The 16,483-nt window shown below is 36.7% G+C and overlaps 1 protein-coding gene across 17 annotated transcripts in view; it reads left to right on the top strand.

Moving 5' to 3' along the window:
• The window catches only part of ANKRD26 (ankyrin repeat domain containing 26), a 152,913-nt gene that overhangs the window by 75,158 nt on the left and 61,272 nt on the right, over positions 1-16,483 (top strand). For 16 of the 17 annotated variants that reach the window (XM_017015929.2, XM_047424821.1, XM_017015928.2 and 13 more), the window contains 5 exons: positions 778-890; positions 2,650-2,779; positions 7,545-7,835; positions 10,626-10,843; positions 12,227-12,455. In XM_017015929.2, the coding sequence (XP_016871418.1) occupies positions 778-890; positions 2,650-2,779; positions 7,545-7,835; positions 10,626-10,843; positions 12,227-12,455 (981 nt within the window). The remainder of the gene's footprint in view (positions 1-777; positions 891-2,649; positions 2,780-7,544; positions 7,836-10,625; positions 10,844-12,226; positions 12,456-16,483) is intronic. The other variant, XM_047424826.1, reaches the window with a different exon arrangement.

The raw sequence follows: 16,483 nt of genomic DNA, 5'->3' as shown, positions 1-16,483 counted from the left end.
TTAGCCGATGTGGTGGTGCATGCCTGTTATCCTAGCTACTGAGGAGGCTGAGGTGGGAGGATTGCTTGAGCCCTGGAGTTCAAGGCTGCAGTGAACTATGATTGCACCATTACACTCCAGCTTGGTTGACAGAGTGAGACCCTGTCACAGACAAACAAACAAACAAACAAAAAAGAGAGTCCAATGGAAAAACAGGTTGATTAAAAAAGCCACAAGAATCAGGCAAAAGTTATGTTTTTGTTTATTGTGGAGAAGAAAAACTTTATTTAAAGAGAAATGGTTAATAGAACAGGAAAAATTGAAACCCATAGAAGAATGTTTATAGAGAATGAGAGATAGCTCATCTTGAAGTCAGGTGAGTATAAAAAATGTAACGGGAACCAGATGAAAGTTTTCTAAAAATTGTCTTAGTAAGATTTGATTTAACAAAAACTGGAATATCTTGAACTACTGATGACAGTGTTTCTAGAGCAACTTCAGAAATGAGAACGTACATCTAAAATAACTTTTTAAAAAGGAATTTTCATTAACACTTAGTATTTTATATGTAAAAACTTCTATTTTTAACAAATTTTGGTAATTTAAATTCCAGAAAAGAGATATGAGCTGTTTTAAGAAAAGTCATTTTTTCAAATCCGTTCTTATTGCCATTAGGTTTATAAACTGCATTTTATATGCCTAAACATATGTTACTCATGAACTCATAAGAAATAATAGTTTTAAGAAAAAAAGTGTTTCCAGAGTTTTAAAAGTAATTGAAAATATTTTGTTTCAAAGTCTGAAGATGAAAAGGAACAATTAAAGAAACTTATGGAATTAAAACAGTCACTGGAATGTAATTTGGATCAAGAAATGAAGAAAAATGTTGAATTAGAAAGAGAGATAACTGGGTAAGATTTTAATATTTCAGATCATTTTAACCATTCATTAATTGATTTAATATAATTTTACTTTGTTCAAAACTAGATATAAATTCATTTAATATCTACTTTTTCTTAATGAAATTATTCTCTTTTAAAATGGTTTTAGAAAGTTGCAGCACAATCTGAAACTTTTGGAATGCCTAAATATTACACTTATTCTTTAATGATTTTGAAAGCAGTAACAATGCCTTTGGCATATAATGTCAACTGCACTCTTCATCTTTTACTTTGAACTTTTATTTCTGAAGATATTTTCACTTTCTTTGGTAATCTTTCTCTCTTTGGTAGTGTCCTTCCCTTCAAAGAAGATATTCAAATCTTTTAATATCTAAAAACCTATCTGTGTCATCCTTTGGAAGCATCAAAAATTATCTTGATTTAGCTTATGCTTTCTTTCTGCCTCTTTGTGTGTGTGTGTGTGTGTGTGTGTGTGTAGTAATAAAATATATCATGAAAATTTACTCATTTCCCATGGATATCCCCCATGTATACCTGAGGTATACATGTTATTAAACTTCTGTTTGTTTTAAAACATATATGCCTCATACATATACAAAAGTATGTATGATTTAAGAGTGAAATGAGCAATCATGTTTCTACTATCCAGATTTAAAAATGGAATGTTACCCATTGCCTTGGAAGCCCCTAACATGGCTGCTTTTCTGTTTATTTGCTGAGTACTTACGTTTGTTCTGATTCTAATTACTATTTTTCTCTCATTGTCTTTCTCTAACGTGGTTTGGCATCCCTTTTACTTTGTTAACGTTGTGCTAGTAAAGATTTCTGGATCTCTTCTGAAAGCAGCCTTTGTGTCTTTATACATGCTTTCTCTGCTCATTTCCTTTCTTCTAAAACTCTGCCTGTTTCCTTTTCCCCTTAACTCAGACGTCAAAAATGTTTCTTTCCTGTCTCTTATCTACTTTGAATGATCTTGATGTTTTTTGTGTGTACTTTCTTTTTTTTTTTGTACTTTTCTTCTTATAAACAGTGGTCAACGGATATCAAATGTATTTTTGTGTCTTTTTCAACCATTCATGTATAAGTATGTGTATGCTTTTCTTTTCTTTTTTTTTTTCCCTGGAATCTCTCTGTTGCCCAAGCTGGAGTGTGGTGGTGCAGTCTCGGCCCACTGCAACCTCCACCTCCTGGGTTCAAGCCATTCTCCTGGCTCCGCCTCCCAACTCAGCCTCCTGAATAGCTGGGATTACAGACATGCACCACCACGCCTGGCTAATTTTTGTATTTTTAGTAGAGACAGGGTTTCACCATGTTGGCCAGGCTGGTCTTGAACTCCTGAGCTCAAGTGATCCGCCTGGCTCGGTCTCCCAAAGTGCTGGAATTTTAGGCATGAGCCACTGGTCCAGCCTAAGTATGATTTTCCTCTTCACCTTGGACTCTGATCTCTGGTTTATAGCTAATATTTGATAATAAGTTAATGTTTTATATTAACATACTAAAATGGATAGGAATAATTTATTTATAAAAACTTCATGTGATTTTAATGTTAACTCTTTATCTGCCATATATGTCATATAATTTTTCTTCACATTATTTACCTAAGATTATAATTTCATTAGAGTGTTTTCAAACTATGTCAGATTGAAATAAACGAGAGAATCATGATTCATTTGTTTTTCTTACATGCTAAAACATAATATCTGTTTAAATAATTATTAAATGTTTGCCTTTTTAAAACTTGAGTTACTCATTTTGTACCTTCCTGCAGATTTAAGAACCTCTTAAAAATGACAAGAAAGAAGTTAAATGAATATGAAAATGGAGAATTTAGTTTCCATGGAGATTTAAAAACTAGTCAATTTGAAATGGATATTCAGATTAATAAGCTAAAACATAAGGTAATTTTTAATAAGTTTTGGGACCAAAAAAGTCACTTAATTTTGGGAAATATAGACTTCTCAATGCTTTGAACAGTGAAATAAAGATTTTTTTTTTTAACTTTAGGGACTTGATACTAATAAAAAAACTTTTTTTAAACTTTTAAGTTCAGAGGTACATGGGCAGGTTTGTTATGTAGTTAAACTTGTGTCACGGGTGTTTGTTAAACAGATTATTTTGTCACCCAAGTATTAAGCCTAGTGCTCATTAGTTATTTTTCTTGATTCCTCTCCCTTCTCTCACCCTCCATCCTCTAGGAGGCCCCATTGTCTGTTGTTCCCCTCCGTGTGTCCCTGTGTTCTCATCATTTAGCTCCCACTTAGTAGTGAGAACTTGCAGTATTTGGTTTTCTCTTCCTGTGTTAGTTTACTAAGGATAATGGCTTCTAGCTCTGGACATAGGAACAGACAAAGATTTCATGGCCAAGACACCAAAAGCAATTGCAACAAAAGCAAAAATTGATAGAATCTAATTAAACTAAAGAGCTTCTACAGAGCAAAGGAAGTATCAACAGAGTAAACAGACAACCTACAGAATGGGAGAAAATTTTTGCAAACTATGCATCTAACAAAGGTCTTATATCCGGCATCTATAAGGAACTTACACAAATTTACAAGGAAAAAACAACCCCATTAAAAAGTGGGCAAAGGAGATGAATAGACATTTCTCAAAAGAAGACATACATGCAACCCAACAAACATGATAAAAAGCTCAACATCATTGATCATTAGAGAAATGCAAATCAAAACCACAACAAGATACCATCTCATACTAGCCAGAATGGCTATTATTAAAAAGTCAAAAAAATAACAAACTATTCATCTGACAAGGGACTAATATCCAGAATATACAAGGAACTCAACTCGACAGCAAAAAGAATATTCTAATTCAAAAGTAGGCAAAAAATCTGAAACAGACATTTCTCATAAGAAGACATACGAATGACCAAAAGGTATACGGAAAAAATGCTCAACATCACTAATCATCAGGGAAGTGCACATCAAAACCACCAAGTGATATGATCTTATTCCAGTTAGAATCGCTACTATCAAAAGACAAAAAATAACAAATGCCAGCAAGGCTGCAGAGAACAGGGAACTCTTAGACATTGTTGGTGGGAATGTAAAGTAGTACAGCCATTATAAAAAACAATGTGGAGTTTCTTCAGAAAACTAAAAATAGAACTGCCATATGATGTAGTCGTTCTACTACCAGGTATTTATCCAGGAGAAAGGAAATCAGCATATCAAAGGGATATCTGCATTCCCATGTTTATTGCAGTACTATTCACAATAGCTAAGATGTGGAATCAACCTAAATGTCCATAGACAATGGAAAAGAAAATATGGTGTATACAGATACATAAAGGTGAAAACAACAGACGCTGAGGTTTCCAAGAATGCAGGATCTGTGCCAAGAAATGTGTTCAGAATCTGGGTGACAGGATCAACAGAAGTCCAAACCTCGGCATTTTGCAGTATAGTAACAAGCCTGCATATGTACCCTTTCAATCTAAAATAAAAATGGAATTTTTTTTTTTAAAGGAAAAGATTTGGTGGCTGGGTACGGTGGCTCATGCCTGTAATTCCAGCATTTTGGAAGCCAAGGTAGGCTGATCACCTGAAGTCAGGAGTTCCGAGACCAGCCTTGACAAAATGGCAAAACCCCGTCTCCACCAAAAATACAAAAAAATTAGCTGGACATAGCGGCACACGCCTGTAGTCCCAGCTACTCTGGAGGCTGAGGCAGGAGAATTGCTTGAACCCTGGAGGCGGAGGTTGCAGTGAGCCAAGATTGCACCATTGCACTCCAGCCTGGGTGACAAGAGTGAAACTCTGTCTCAAAAAAAAGAAAGATGTGGTGTATATACAGGATGGAATGTTATTCAGCCAAAAGAATGAAATCATGTCAGTAACATTATGTTAAGTGAAATAGGTCAGGCAAGGAAGATAAATATCTAAGGTTCTCACTCGTATGCAAGTGCTAAAAAGAAAACCGAGCTCATGGAAGTACAGAGTAGAATCATGGGTATTAGAGGCTGGGAAAAGCAGGAGGGAGGAGAGGCAGGCAAAGGGGCGGGGAAGGGAGGAGGTGTTGGGTGATGGCTACCAAATTAGAGCTAGCTAGGAGGAATGCATTCCGGTGTTCTATAGCACCACAGGGCGAATACAGTTAAATATAATTTATTGTGTATTTTCAAAAAGCTAAAAAGAGGATTTTGAATGTTCACAAGACAAATAAATGATAAATGTTTGAGGTGATGGATATGCTAATTCGCTTATACATTGTATACATCTATTAAAATATCTCTCTAGCCATAAATATGTACAATGTTGTGTGTCAACTAAAAAGGAGAAAATAATTCATCCCATGATAAAATAGAACATGGGCCAAACTCAGTGACTCATTTCTAATGAATAGAATGTGGTAAAGGTGACAACATGTGACTTCGGCATTAGATTAGAAGAGGCTTCCTATCTCAGACTCCTTGCCGTTGGAACCCAGCCCCGATCTTGTGAGGAAGCTCAGGACACAAAGGCAGCCTAGGAGTTCCAGTCCCTCAGGCTTTGAGCTGTGTCCAGGGAACCTGAGGGGAACAGAGACAAGCTGTCCTGGCCGAGATTTTCCCAAACCACAGATTCCTGAACAGAATAAATGTTGTTTTAAGCCATAAATTTTGGGTACTTTGTTAGGAAGCAATAAGCAGAAAAAATGTATTTTACAAAAAGAGACAATAAGAAACATAACTTACACAGGAAAAATTAGTCTCATTTAAAGTAGAATCTGATAAATGTTGAGATTAATTTATTCATGGCAAACAATGTTAAGCAGATAGCCAGGAGAAAGACGTAAGAGCTATTGAGGAGAAAGTTTTTTCTCCAGATTTAAAGGTCTGGAATCTGAACTCTCCAAAATAAAAACTTCTCAAGAAGACTTTAATAAAACTGAACTGGAAAAATATAAGCAACTCTATCTAGAAGAATTAAAGCTTCTAGATAGAGGGGGACTAGAATCTTCTGGTTTGTGCACTAATGTGTCTGGTTGCTGATGGTGGCCATTGGCTGGAACTTTGGTTGGGGCAGGAACCCTGAGCACCTACTCGAATAGTTTGCAAATAGTGTCTCCCATTCTACAGATTCTCTCTTCACTCTATTAATTATTTCCTTTGCTGTGCAGAAGCTTTTCAGTTTAATATTGTCCCATCTTTATTTTTTATTACTATTTTTTAAAATTTTATTTTATTAATTTCTTTTTTTTAACCCAGGCTGGAGTGCAGTGGCGTGATCTCAGCTCACTGCAAGCTCCGCCTCCTGGGTTCATGCCATTTTCCTGCCTCAGCCTCCCGAGTAGCTGGGACTACAGGTGCCCACCACCATGCCTGTCTAATTTTTTGTATTTTTAGTAGAGATGGGGTTTCACCGTGTTAGCTAGGATGGTCTCAATCTCCTGACCTCGTGATCCACCCGCCTTGTCCTCCCAAAGTGCTGGGATTTACAGGCTCAGTGAGCCACCGCACCTGGCCAGTATTGTCCCATTTTTCTATTTTTGTTTTTTTGCCTACGGTTTTGAAAATAGCCATAAAATCTTTGCCTAGACCAATGTCCTGAAGCAATTTCCCTGTCTCTTCTAGTAGTTTTATAGTTTCAAGGTCTTACTTTTTTACATCTTTATTCAATTTTGAGTTGATTTTAGTATATGGTGTTCGATAGGGGTCTAGTTTCATTCTTCTGCATGTGGATATCCAGTTTTCCCAGCACTATTTATTCAAGAGGATGTCCTTTCCCCAATGTATGTTCTTAGCATCTGTTTAAAATCAGTTGGCTGTAAATACACGAATTTATTTCTAGGTTCTTTATTCTGTGGCCTTAACACCAATAATTATTACCCCTTGGAATGCAAGTCAAATTAGCATAAAACATTTGCAGCTCAGAAAAAGGCTTATGGCATTAGAATCTATATTACAAGATTCATTAATTAGAGTCTTATTTTAAAAGTCTTATTCTGGGAGCCTTTTTTTTTGATGAGGCCTAAATAACTCAATAGGATGTCCGAAAACTTCTTTAGAAATTATAGGGCATGTTGGGGCTGGGAGCAGTGGCTCACACCTGTAATCCCAGCACTTCGGGAGGCTGAGGCAGGCAGATCATGAGGTCAGGAGATTGAGACCATCCTGGCTAACATGGTGAAACCCTGTCTCTACTAAAAATACAAAAAATTAGCCGGGCCTGGTGGTGGGTGCCTGTAGTCCCAGCTACTGAGGAGGCTGAGGCAGGAGAATGGCATGAACCCGGGAGGCAAAGCTTGCAGTGAGTGGAGATCACACCACTGCACTCCAGCCTGGGCGACAGAGCAAGACTAAAAAAAAAAAAAAAAAATTATAGGGCATGTTTATGGGGGAAGTAGTAAGACTTTCTGCTACCCCTTAGAGCCATTTAAGGAGGAAAGACATGAAACAATCATAGAAAAATACAAGTCGAAGATCAAGTGCAAATGTTGTGTGGCAGAGATGATAAAAATAAGGAATATATTTTTGTGACTCCTGGTGGCTTTGACTTTGTTCTTGATTTTCTGGGTAATTTAAGGGTCCACATTTGAAGAATCTTTTATGGTTCAGGTGACATTTTATTGCAACTGAATTTATTTCAAAATTTGTTCTTGGTTTTATGTTAGGCTATTCTCAGGCTACTTCCTTCATTATTACACTATATTATTGTCTTCATTCAGATTGATGATCTTACAGCAGAACTGGAGACTGCAGGTTCAAAATGTCTACATCTGGATACAAAGAACCAAATTCTTCAAGAGGAGTTGTTATCTATGAAAACAGTACAAAAGAAATGTGAAAAACTACAGAAGAATAAAAAGAAGTTGGAACAAGAAGTGATCAACCTGAGAAGTCATATAGAAAGGAATATGGTAGAACTTGGTCAAGTCAAACAGTATAAACAGGAGATTGAAGAAAGAGCAAGACAGGAAATAGCAGAAAAATTAAAAGAAGTCAATCTATTTTTACAGGTTAGCTTATGTGTAGTGTGCCTTTGTTCATTTCACTGCAAATTGTATTTTGGATATATACATTATATGTGTTTCCTCTACATCCCTTATAGCAATTTGTTCTGTAGATTTCTAGAAGGATGATGGCATCTGTTTCTCCCTTTAGATATTCCAGTTTCCATCATTATTATAACTAAATTGATGATTTAGAATAATGATTTTCATCAGAGAATTATTTGACTATTAAGACCAGTTGGCATAAAACAAAACCATCAGGAAAAGAAAGTATTGTGATTTAGAAATTATACCATATTCTTGAATTGTTCTTAAATTACATTGCTCACTTTTTAAAATTTTTAATTAATTTTATCTTTAAATTATCAGAGTTCATGAGTACTAATGAAACAATGATTCAAATGTTTATACCTCAGCCTTTGGATAGCTGGGACTACAGGTGCACATCACGATGCCTGGCTAAATTTTTAATTCTTATTTTTGGTAGAAACAGAGTCTTGCTTTGTTGCCCAGGCTGGTCTCGAACTCTTGGCTTCAAGTGATCCTCCTGCTTAGGTCTCCCAAAGTGCTGAGATTACAGGCATGAGCCACCAAACCTGGCTGATAAATATTTTAAACTTCAGCTTTTTTTTCACATATTTAAAATTACTCTCTGAATCACTAACTCAAAAGTAAAGGAAAAAAATACACAATAATTACCCAGGTTTTATATAAATTAAATTTTATTAAGGGATAATTTACAAATAATTAAACACAACCATTTTAACAGTTTGACCCAAGTATATACTTGCTTAACCACCCTCTCAACAGAGAACATTTCCAGAAAGTTCTCTCTTGCCCTTTTGCAGTTAATTCCCCCTACTTCATCCCAGGAAACCACTGGGACTTTAACACAACTTGTGTTGTTTTTGCCTTAAAAAAAAAAAAACAAAGCTGGGCACGGTGGCTCATGCCTGTAATCCCAGCACTTTGGGAAGCCGAGGTGGACGGATCACGAGGTCAGGAGTTCCAGACCAGCCTGGCCAACATAGTGAAAACCCATATCTACTAAAAAATTTAAAAAAATAATCAGCCAGGCGTGGTGGCACATGCCTGTAGTCCCAGTTACTCGGGAGACTGAGGCAGGAGAACTGCTTGAATCTGGGAGGCGGAGGTTGCAGTGAGGCAAGATGGTGAGAGCTAGACTCCGTCTCAAATACAAAACAAAACAAACAAATTAGGCTGGGCATGGTAGCTCACACCTGTAATCCTAGCACTTTGAGGGCTGAGGCGGGAGGACCACTTGAGCCCAGGAGTTCAAGACCAACCTAGGCAACAAAGTGAGACCCCATCTCTACAAAAATTTAAAAAAGTAATTAGCCAGGCATGGTGGTGCATGGCTGTAGTCCCAGGTACTTGGGAGGCTGAGGTGAGAGGATCATGTAAGCCCAGGAGTTTTCAAGGCTGCGGTGAGCTATGATTGTGCCACTGAACTGAAGCATGGGCGACAGACTGAGACCCTGTCTCTAAAATAAACAAAGCCAAAGGAATGTCTTTCCTCTCTTACCCACATGGGTATATGAGTGTGTGAGTGTGTGTGTGTCTGAGTGAGTGATAAAAATCTACTTAATAACATGAGTTTGTGTGTCTATGAGTGATTAAAACTCAATAATTTAACAAATTTGTTTTAGTTGGGATAAAGAGCGATTGAGAACTGCGTGGGACCCCTGTGCTTATGAGAGAGGATGGAGGGTGCAAACTGGTGGAAAGGATGTGAAAATTAACAGAGAAATTTCAACTGGGCCACTTGAAAATATGTAGCCGTTGTGAGAGTAGAAAGTCTTCACTCCTCATTCTCAGCTCTTTCCCTTCCCTCAGGCTAGTGAGAGATAGGAGTCTTGGAACACAATCTACAAGGCCAAGGTGGTAACAATCCATGATAACACAGATTTCTTCACATGGTATTTATGATAGTCTTACAAAGCTCTGCATGTTAGCTCTTAGAGACATGGAATGAGAATAGGAAGAAATCTTAGTGATAAGCCAGTGTAGTTTCCCATTTTACAGATGAAGAGACCTAGGGAAAGGTTAAACAGCAGGGCCCAAGCCATAGAGCTAGTCAGGCTCAGGATCACACTCCACATTCCTTTACTTGTAGTCCAGGTGATTCCATAACCTTATGCTCCAGCAGGTAGAATTACTGTAAGAGATCCAACACCTTGGGCTTTTTTCTCAGCATGTATTGATGCGCACAGCATTTATCCCTAAGAAGCTCTAAGTTCCTGTATCTTACATACAGATGATTGCTTTAATTTACTTTGCCAGGTGTATTCATAAAATGGAATATCACATCAAAATTTTTAAGCATATTCAAGTCTTCCCCATGAATATATTTTAACACAAAAATAATTTTTATAAGATTTTTCATTCGAAAATATCTCCACATTTGTAGTCATTTTCTTTCTTAGGTTTTCCTTATGTTACCAATTATAATTTTTTATTTTCTATATGACATTTCCCCCCATCGTTAGACATCTGGGTTGCCAGTCAGCCTTTATTGTTTTGATTACTTCATCAAGGATGAAAATGCTTCTCTAGTAGAAACTCACTTTCATTTCTTTGGAAGTATTTGGATTCCCTTTTCAATTAGAACCCTGGGATGTCCTCTTATCTCTTTGACCAATGCCTGCTGGCACAGAGATCTTTCTCTTTTTGGAGTTTGGGTTAAAAACAAAACAGCCCTTAGACACCGAGTAGGTGACCATGGTCTTACTCAGGTTATATATTTTTAAAACATATGCTTTTAATTTGTTTTAGGCACAAGCAGCATCTCAAGAAAACTTAGAGCAGTTTAGAGAGAATAATTTTGCTTCAATGAAAAGTCAGATGGAACTCAGAATTAAAGATCTGGAATCTGAACTCTCCAAAATAAAAACTTCTCAAGAAGACTTTAATAAAACCGAACTGGAAAAATATAAGCAACTCTATCTAGAAGAATTAAAAGTTAGAAAATCTTTGTCAAGTAAACTAACCAAGTAAGTCAAAATATAGAATCATAGGAAATAAATTAAGCTCATTAATTTGCCTTGAAAGCATAATTCTTAGGTTCATGAGATTAATGGGAAGTGAAAGCTAAATAGGTAATATAATTTTGGAAAATGTTAGTAAATTAACTTACCTTTAAAATGTGAGTCCAGGACAGTTTATGTCTTTCCTCTGTTTTTTTTTTTTTAATTTTATATGGCTTTTCCGTTAATATTCTTAGGTAGTTAACTGGATCTATGTCTTTCAGCTATGTGCTTTTAAAACTTTGTAATTTAGACATTGATATTGTCATCAGATTGCTTATCAGCATTGCCATAAATATAATTATTAATGAGTTGGGCTGTTTTTTGGAAAATTACAACTTAAACCAGAAGGGTCAAGTATCACTACTACTCTGCACATTCTGGCACTCCATAAATGAACTTTCCTTGATTGTGATATCTGGTATTATCACTACAGGGTGCCATGAGACAAACTACCCTGTATAGTTTTTCTACTACTTAAAGGCATGCTAGTGAAATAGGGAATGATTAACGTAGGGATGAAGGGAAGTATATTTTATAAAGTGGTTAAAAATAACACCTTGGTCAGCCTGAGGGAGTGTGTGGAAAACAGGTCAGGCCCCACCTCTGATGCCTTGGGGACAATGTTAGGAGCTAACTGCCTTTGAGACTCTTTAGTTCTTTTTGATCACCAACTCAGCTATCTTCTTTTCCCCTACAATTTTTTGCTCTGAATTATTCCTTGGGGCCAGATGCCTAATATTTTTCCAGATAATGGGTGAAATAAATGTAAAAGGGTGGTGAAAGCAAATGCTTGCACATGTCTTGAGGAATTTTTTAATCTCTAAACTGGTTTACTAAATACAAGTATTTTTAGCTGGGCTTTTTCCTTTGTTATTAGTTTTATTAATTGTATGTATCAAAACATGATGTTTTTGATATATTTGTACATGGTGAAATGGTTATTATAGTCAAGCAAATTAACATATTTATCATGTCACATATTTACCCTTTAAAGACAAGTATTTTTAATGGCATCCTCAGGAATCTTACCAGTGGAGCATTCCAGAAGGCAGCAGGTGTTACCTGTGAAGTTATACATCATTGGTAGCCATTTTCTTCCCTTCCCTACTTTGCTTGAATTACTTGTTTGTTGGAAACTACCCTAGAAACATATGCACTTCTTTAGAACAGTCTAAAAATTATAATTGCATACAGTAGGCATGGTCTGACACATTTTTCAGTGTTAAAATACTGGTTAATGGGAAATTTCATTTACTCCTATGGTAACTTTTTAAAAATTGCAAGTCTTTTAGGAATCATTTAGGGAAAAGTAAAATACTAAGCATGTGTCTTCTGCAATCTTCACAGAACTAATGAGAGGCTAGCAGAGGTCAACACCAAACTTCTTGTGGAAAAACAGCAGAGCAGATCTTTGTTCACCACTCTCACTACCAGGCCAGTCATGGAGCCACCTTGTGTGGGAAATCTTAATAATAGTTTAGATCTCAACAGAAAACTTATTCCAAGAGAAAACTTAGTGATCTCTACCTCAAATCCACGGGCTTCAAATAATAGCATGGAGAACTACTTGAGCAAGGTTAGTTATGTTGTCTTTTTTCCTTTGGGTTTCAAATTTCTCATGTAATTCTTTTTTTGTTTGTTTTTTTGAGACAGCGTTTTACTCTGTTGTCCAGGCTGGAGTGCAGTGGTGCCATCTTGGCTCACTGCAACCTCTATGTCTAGGTTCAGGCAATTCTTGTGTCTTAGCCTCTCAGATAGCTGGGATTACAGGTGTGTGCCACCACACCCAGCTAATTTTTATATTTCTAGTAGAGACTGGGTTTCACATATTGCCAGGCTGGTCTCAAACTTCTGGTTTCAAATGATCTGCCTGCCTCACCCTCCCGAAGTGCTGGGGTTACAGGTGTGAGCCACCATGCCCAGCCTCAAATTTCTGATATAATTCTTGTTTTTAATTTGGTGAAATACCGAGTTGTTTAATTGACTTATGCTTGATAAGTAAAGGTCATAATTATCTGTGCTAATAAAGTGAGGAAACAGAAATTTTAGTTTTTTTTTTTTTTAGTCCCTAGAGCTCTCATTTTCAAGAGGTACCATTTGTTAACTTTATTCAATAAATGTAACTGAACTGTCACATTTTAAATTTCTTTAAAAGCTGAATTTATTAGAAATGGAATATTATTGCCTATTGCCTGATAGCAAAAGGTATACGTTGAGATACTTTGGCTTTCCTTCTAATGGATTTGAGTTTGGCTGTGGTTGATAGCACTTTGATAGTTTTCTGGCACCATCTCAAGTGTTCCACCCTTAATCATAAGTGAATGAATGATTGGCATCCAAACACTTAACCACATATGGAAATTTATTACTTAAAGAACTCCAAGATAAATACTTCTTATGAATTAAACAAACTCTAACACTGATTAATTTGTATTTTTAAGTTTTGTCATTTTCTTACTTAGGAGTACATTCTTAGTTGCTATTGTTACAGCATTTTTCTCTCAATTTTTGTAAAATGTGTCTATTACTGGGCAATTGCACAGTGGTTTTTAAATAGTTAAAGCAAGCAAATATGTGAATTTAAAAAATGCACTTGTGCCATTACTTGAATGATTGATGTCTAAGATGGCAGTGATATCAAGAGTGTTTAGTAAGTATGATCAAACAATTATTTTCTTCCTACCCAGAATTTCATGTTAAGCTTCACAGGGTCCTCATCTCCCCTGGATCCTAGCTTTACAGTAACAAGGTCCTAGCTAGCCAATATTATGTTCATATTGTTAGCTTAGTTTTGTCTTGCTCTTCTAGAACAATAGAAAACCCATTGAAGAGGAACCTTGCAATCCAGCCTTACGATTTCACTCATAGTACGACTTCATTTCTGGGGATCTCAAGATGAATTCAACAATGACAAGTTTTATCAATTGTAGACTTGGTAGGGAAAAAAAAAATCAACTATGCTTGATCCAGTTTAAGATACTTGTCTAACTTTTGACCATTTTTGACTGGGGGAACAAATTACAAAAGCTGGTTGCAATGGTGAACACTTGTAATCCCAGCTACTTGGGAGGCTGGGGCAGGAGGATTGCTTGAGCCCAAGAGTTTAAGGTTGTAATGTGTTTTTACTGCAACTGTGAATAGCAGCCGCACTCCAGCCTGGGCAGCATAGCAAGACCCTGTCTCTTAAAAAATTACAAGAAGCATAAAACATTTGTTTGAACAAAAATAAATAAATAGCAACTAGTTTTTGTTGTGTATCATTATGAAAATATCCATTTTAATCAGTGCACGTTAGCTTAAGATTTAATGGTATTTTCATGATCTTAATGCAGAGAAAAAAAGTGTAGACTCATGTTAAATGAGACCTCAACCTTGTTTCTTTACCAGGCCTCATGTCCTAACAAATCATAGAAGACCAAGTCTAAGGTTTCTTAGACAGCACTGCAGCCAAGTGGCTTAACAAGGAACAAATCAAATGATTGTTTTAATACATAAATTATAAGATCTATCCAGCTAATTTTTTTCATCATTTTGTTAGCTTAGTTTTGTCTTATTTTTCTGACAATGAGATGATCAGGGTCTAAATGCTTCAGAGTCATGAAATTTTCCTACTGGGTACAAAAAGAAAATGAATGTCAAATACTTGTGTAGGCCGGGTGCAATGGTTCATGCCTATAATCCCAACACTTTGGGAGGCCGAAGCAGGAAGATCACCTGAGCTCAGGAGTTCAAGACCAGGCTGGGAAACATAGTGAGGCATAGTGAGATCTCATTTCTACAAAAAATTAAAAAAAATTAGCTGGGCATGGTGGTGCACGCTTGTAGTCCCAGCTTCTTGGGAGGCTGAGGCAGGAGAATCACTTGAGCTCAGGAGCTCAAGGCTACAGTGAGCTATGATCGTGCTTCTGCACTCCAGCCTGGATGACAGAGTGAGACCCTGTCTCAAAAAATCCAAAACAATAACAAAAAACCTTCTGTAACTTACTAAGCATGATGCAAATATAAAATTTTCTCATTAGTTCCTACCAGAAAACTCAGGTAACAACATTTTATAAGATGATGAAAGAATATGTAGATACGCAATGTAAGGGAAGATTTTTGAGGAAATGTTTTTCCTTAATTGATTTTTTTGGGGAGCAAGGAGGTGTTTATTTTTAGTATTTCTAGATAAGCTGAAAAATATTCCATTGGTATACATGGTTTCTTTGTGGGGCACTGGTTTGCCAAACCATGTTAGATTTAACAAAAGAGATTAAAAAGAACCATTCTGTCAGGTCAAGTGACTTTCATACATTAAAAAAATTTTTTTGAAAGAATAGAACTTTTAAAAAATGGCATGAAACTATATTACATAAAACAGATAGAAGTAGAGCTCTCTGGCTAAAGGACAGGTAGGGGCTCTGAAGCTGTGACTTCCTTATCCCTTAATCCTGCAATATCCTCTGTAGAACCTTAGATTTCTGTGGGACATAGTTTGAAAACTACTGGTTATGAAAGAATCCTTCTAATTAGCCAAAACTTGTTGGTACATTGTTCTTTTATAATTTTCTCCTATTCTTATATTTTAAAATGAAAAAGTATACATGAAGTTGCAGATGTGCTCCCTTTATTAATGTTGGACCTCAGGCTGCCTCCGCCACCTGAAGCATAACCCCCACCTGGAAATAAACAAAGTCCACAGAGAAAGGAGGAGCATTTTTATAAAACGTAGTTTATTTATTTTACTCCATAATAGCTTTCGATTTTGTATTATGCATTAAATTATTAGCGTAAGAGATTAGTAATTTATTAAGCTTTTTAATTTCCTCTAGCAGTGTTCAGTTTCTCCTAAGCTATTGCTCTATACATTTCAAAAACCATCGATGGCACCTTGTCTACCTCAATAGGACAGTTATTAATGTCACCAAGACATTTTTCTCTCCTTTTTTCTTCCATAGTCTGTATCAGGCACTGTGTTAAGTTATTTAACTGGAGACAATAATTTTAAATTTGTATTAAGGGAAATATGAGGAAAATGTGTGATTTAATGGGAAATTAGGAATAAAATGAAAGGGACTTTTTCAAAGTCATTTAATGTTTGCCAGTTTTCACTTTTAATATAGGTAAAACCATCCCAGTTTCCCACCAACCAGGACAAAACCAGACTTGTCAACACAGAAGACCCTTTTCCTAAGCTTTCAAGTGTCCCTCCCAGAGCACCTCCCTCCTGGGTTCTGGGTCTGCCCCTTTTCCCTTTGAGCCTTTATGTCTGACCTGGTGTCCTTTTCTCAAAAGTAGTTGCCCTCAGCTGTCATTTATGTGGTAAAATATTCAAGGGTTGGCCAGGCATGGTGGCTCCTGCCTGTAATCCCAGCACTTTGGGAGGCCCAGGTGGGCGGATCACGAGGTCAGGAGTTTGAGACCAGCCTGTCCAATATGGTGAAACCCCGTCTCTACTAAAAAATACAAAAATTAGCTGGGCGTGGTGTTGCGCGCCTGTAGTCCCAGCTACTCAGGAGGCTGAGGCAGGAGAATTGCTTGAACCCAGGAGGCAGAGGTTACAGTGAGCCGAGATTACTCCACTACACTCAAGCCTGGGCAACAGAGTGAGACTCCACCTCAAAA

The sequence above is a fragment of the Homo sapiens genome, chromosome 10 (genome assembly GCF_000001405.40).
Source record: "Homo sapiens chromosome 10, GRCh38.p14 Primary Assembly".
In the NCBI taxonomy this organism is placed as follows: Eukaryota; Metazoa; Chordata; class Mammalia; order Primates; family Hominidae; genus Homo; species Homo sapiens.
This window is presented reverse-complemented; position numbering and strand designations above follow the sequence as displayed.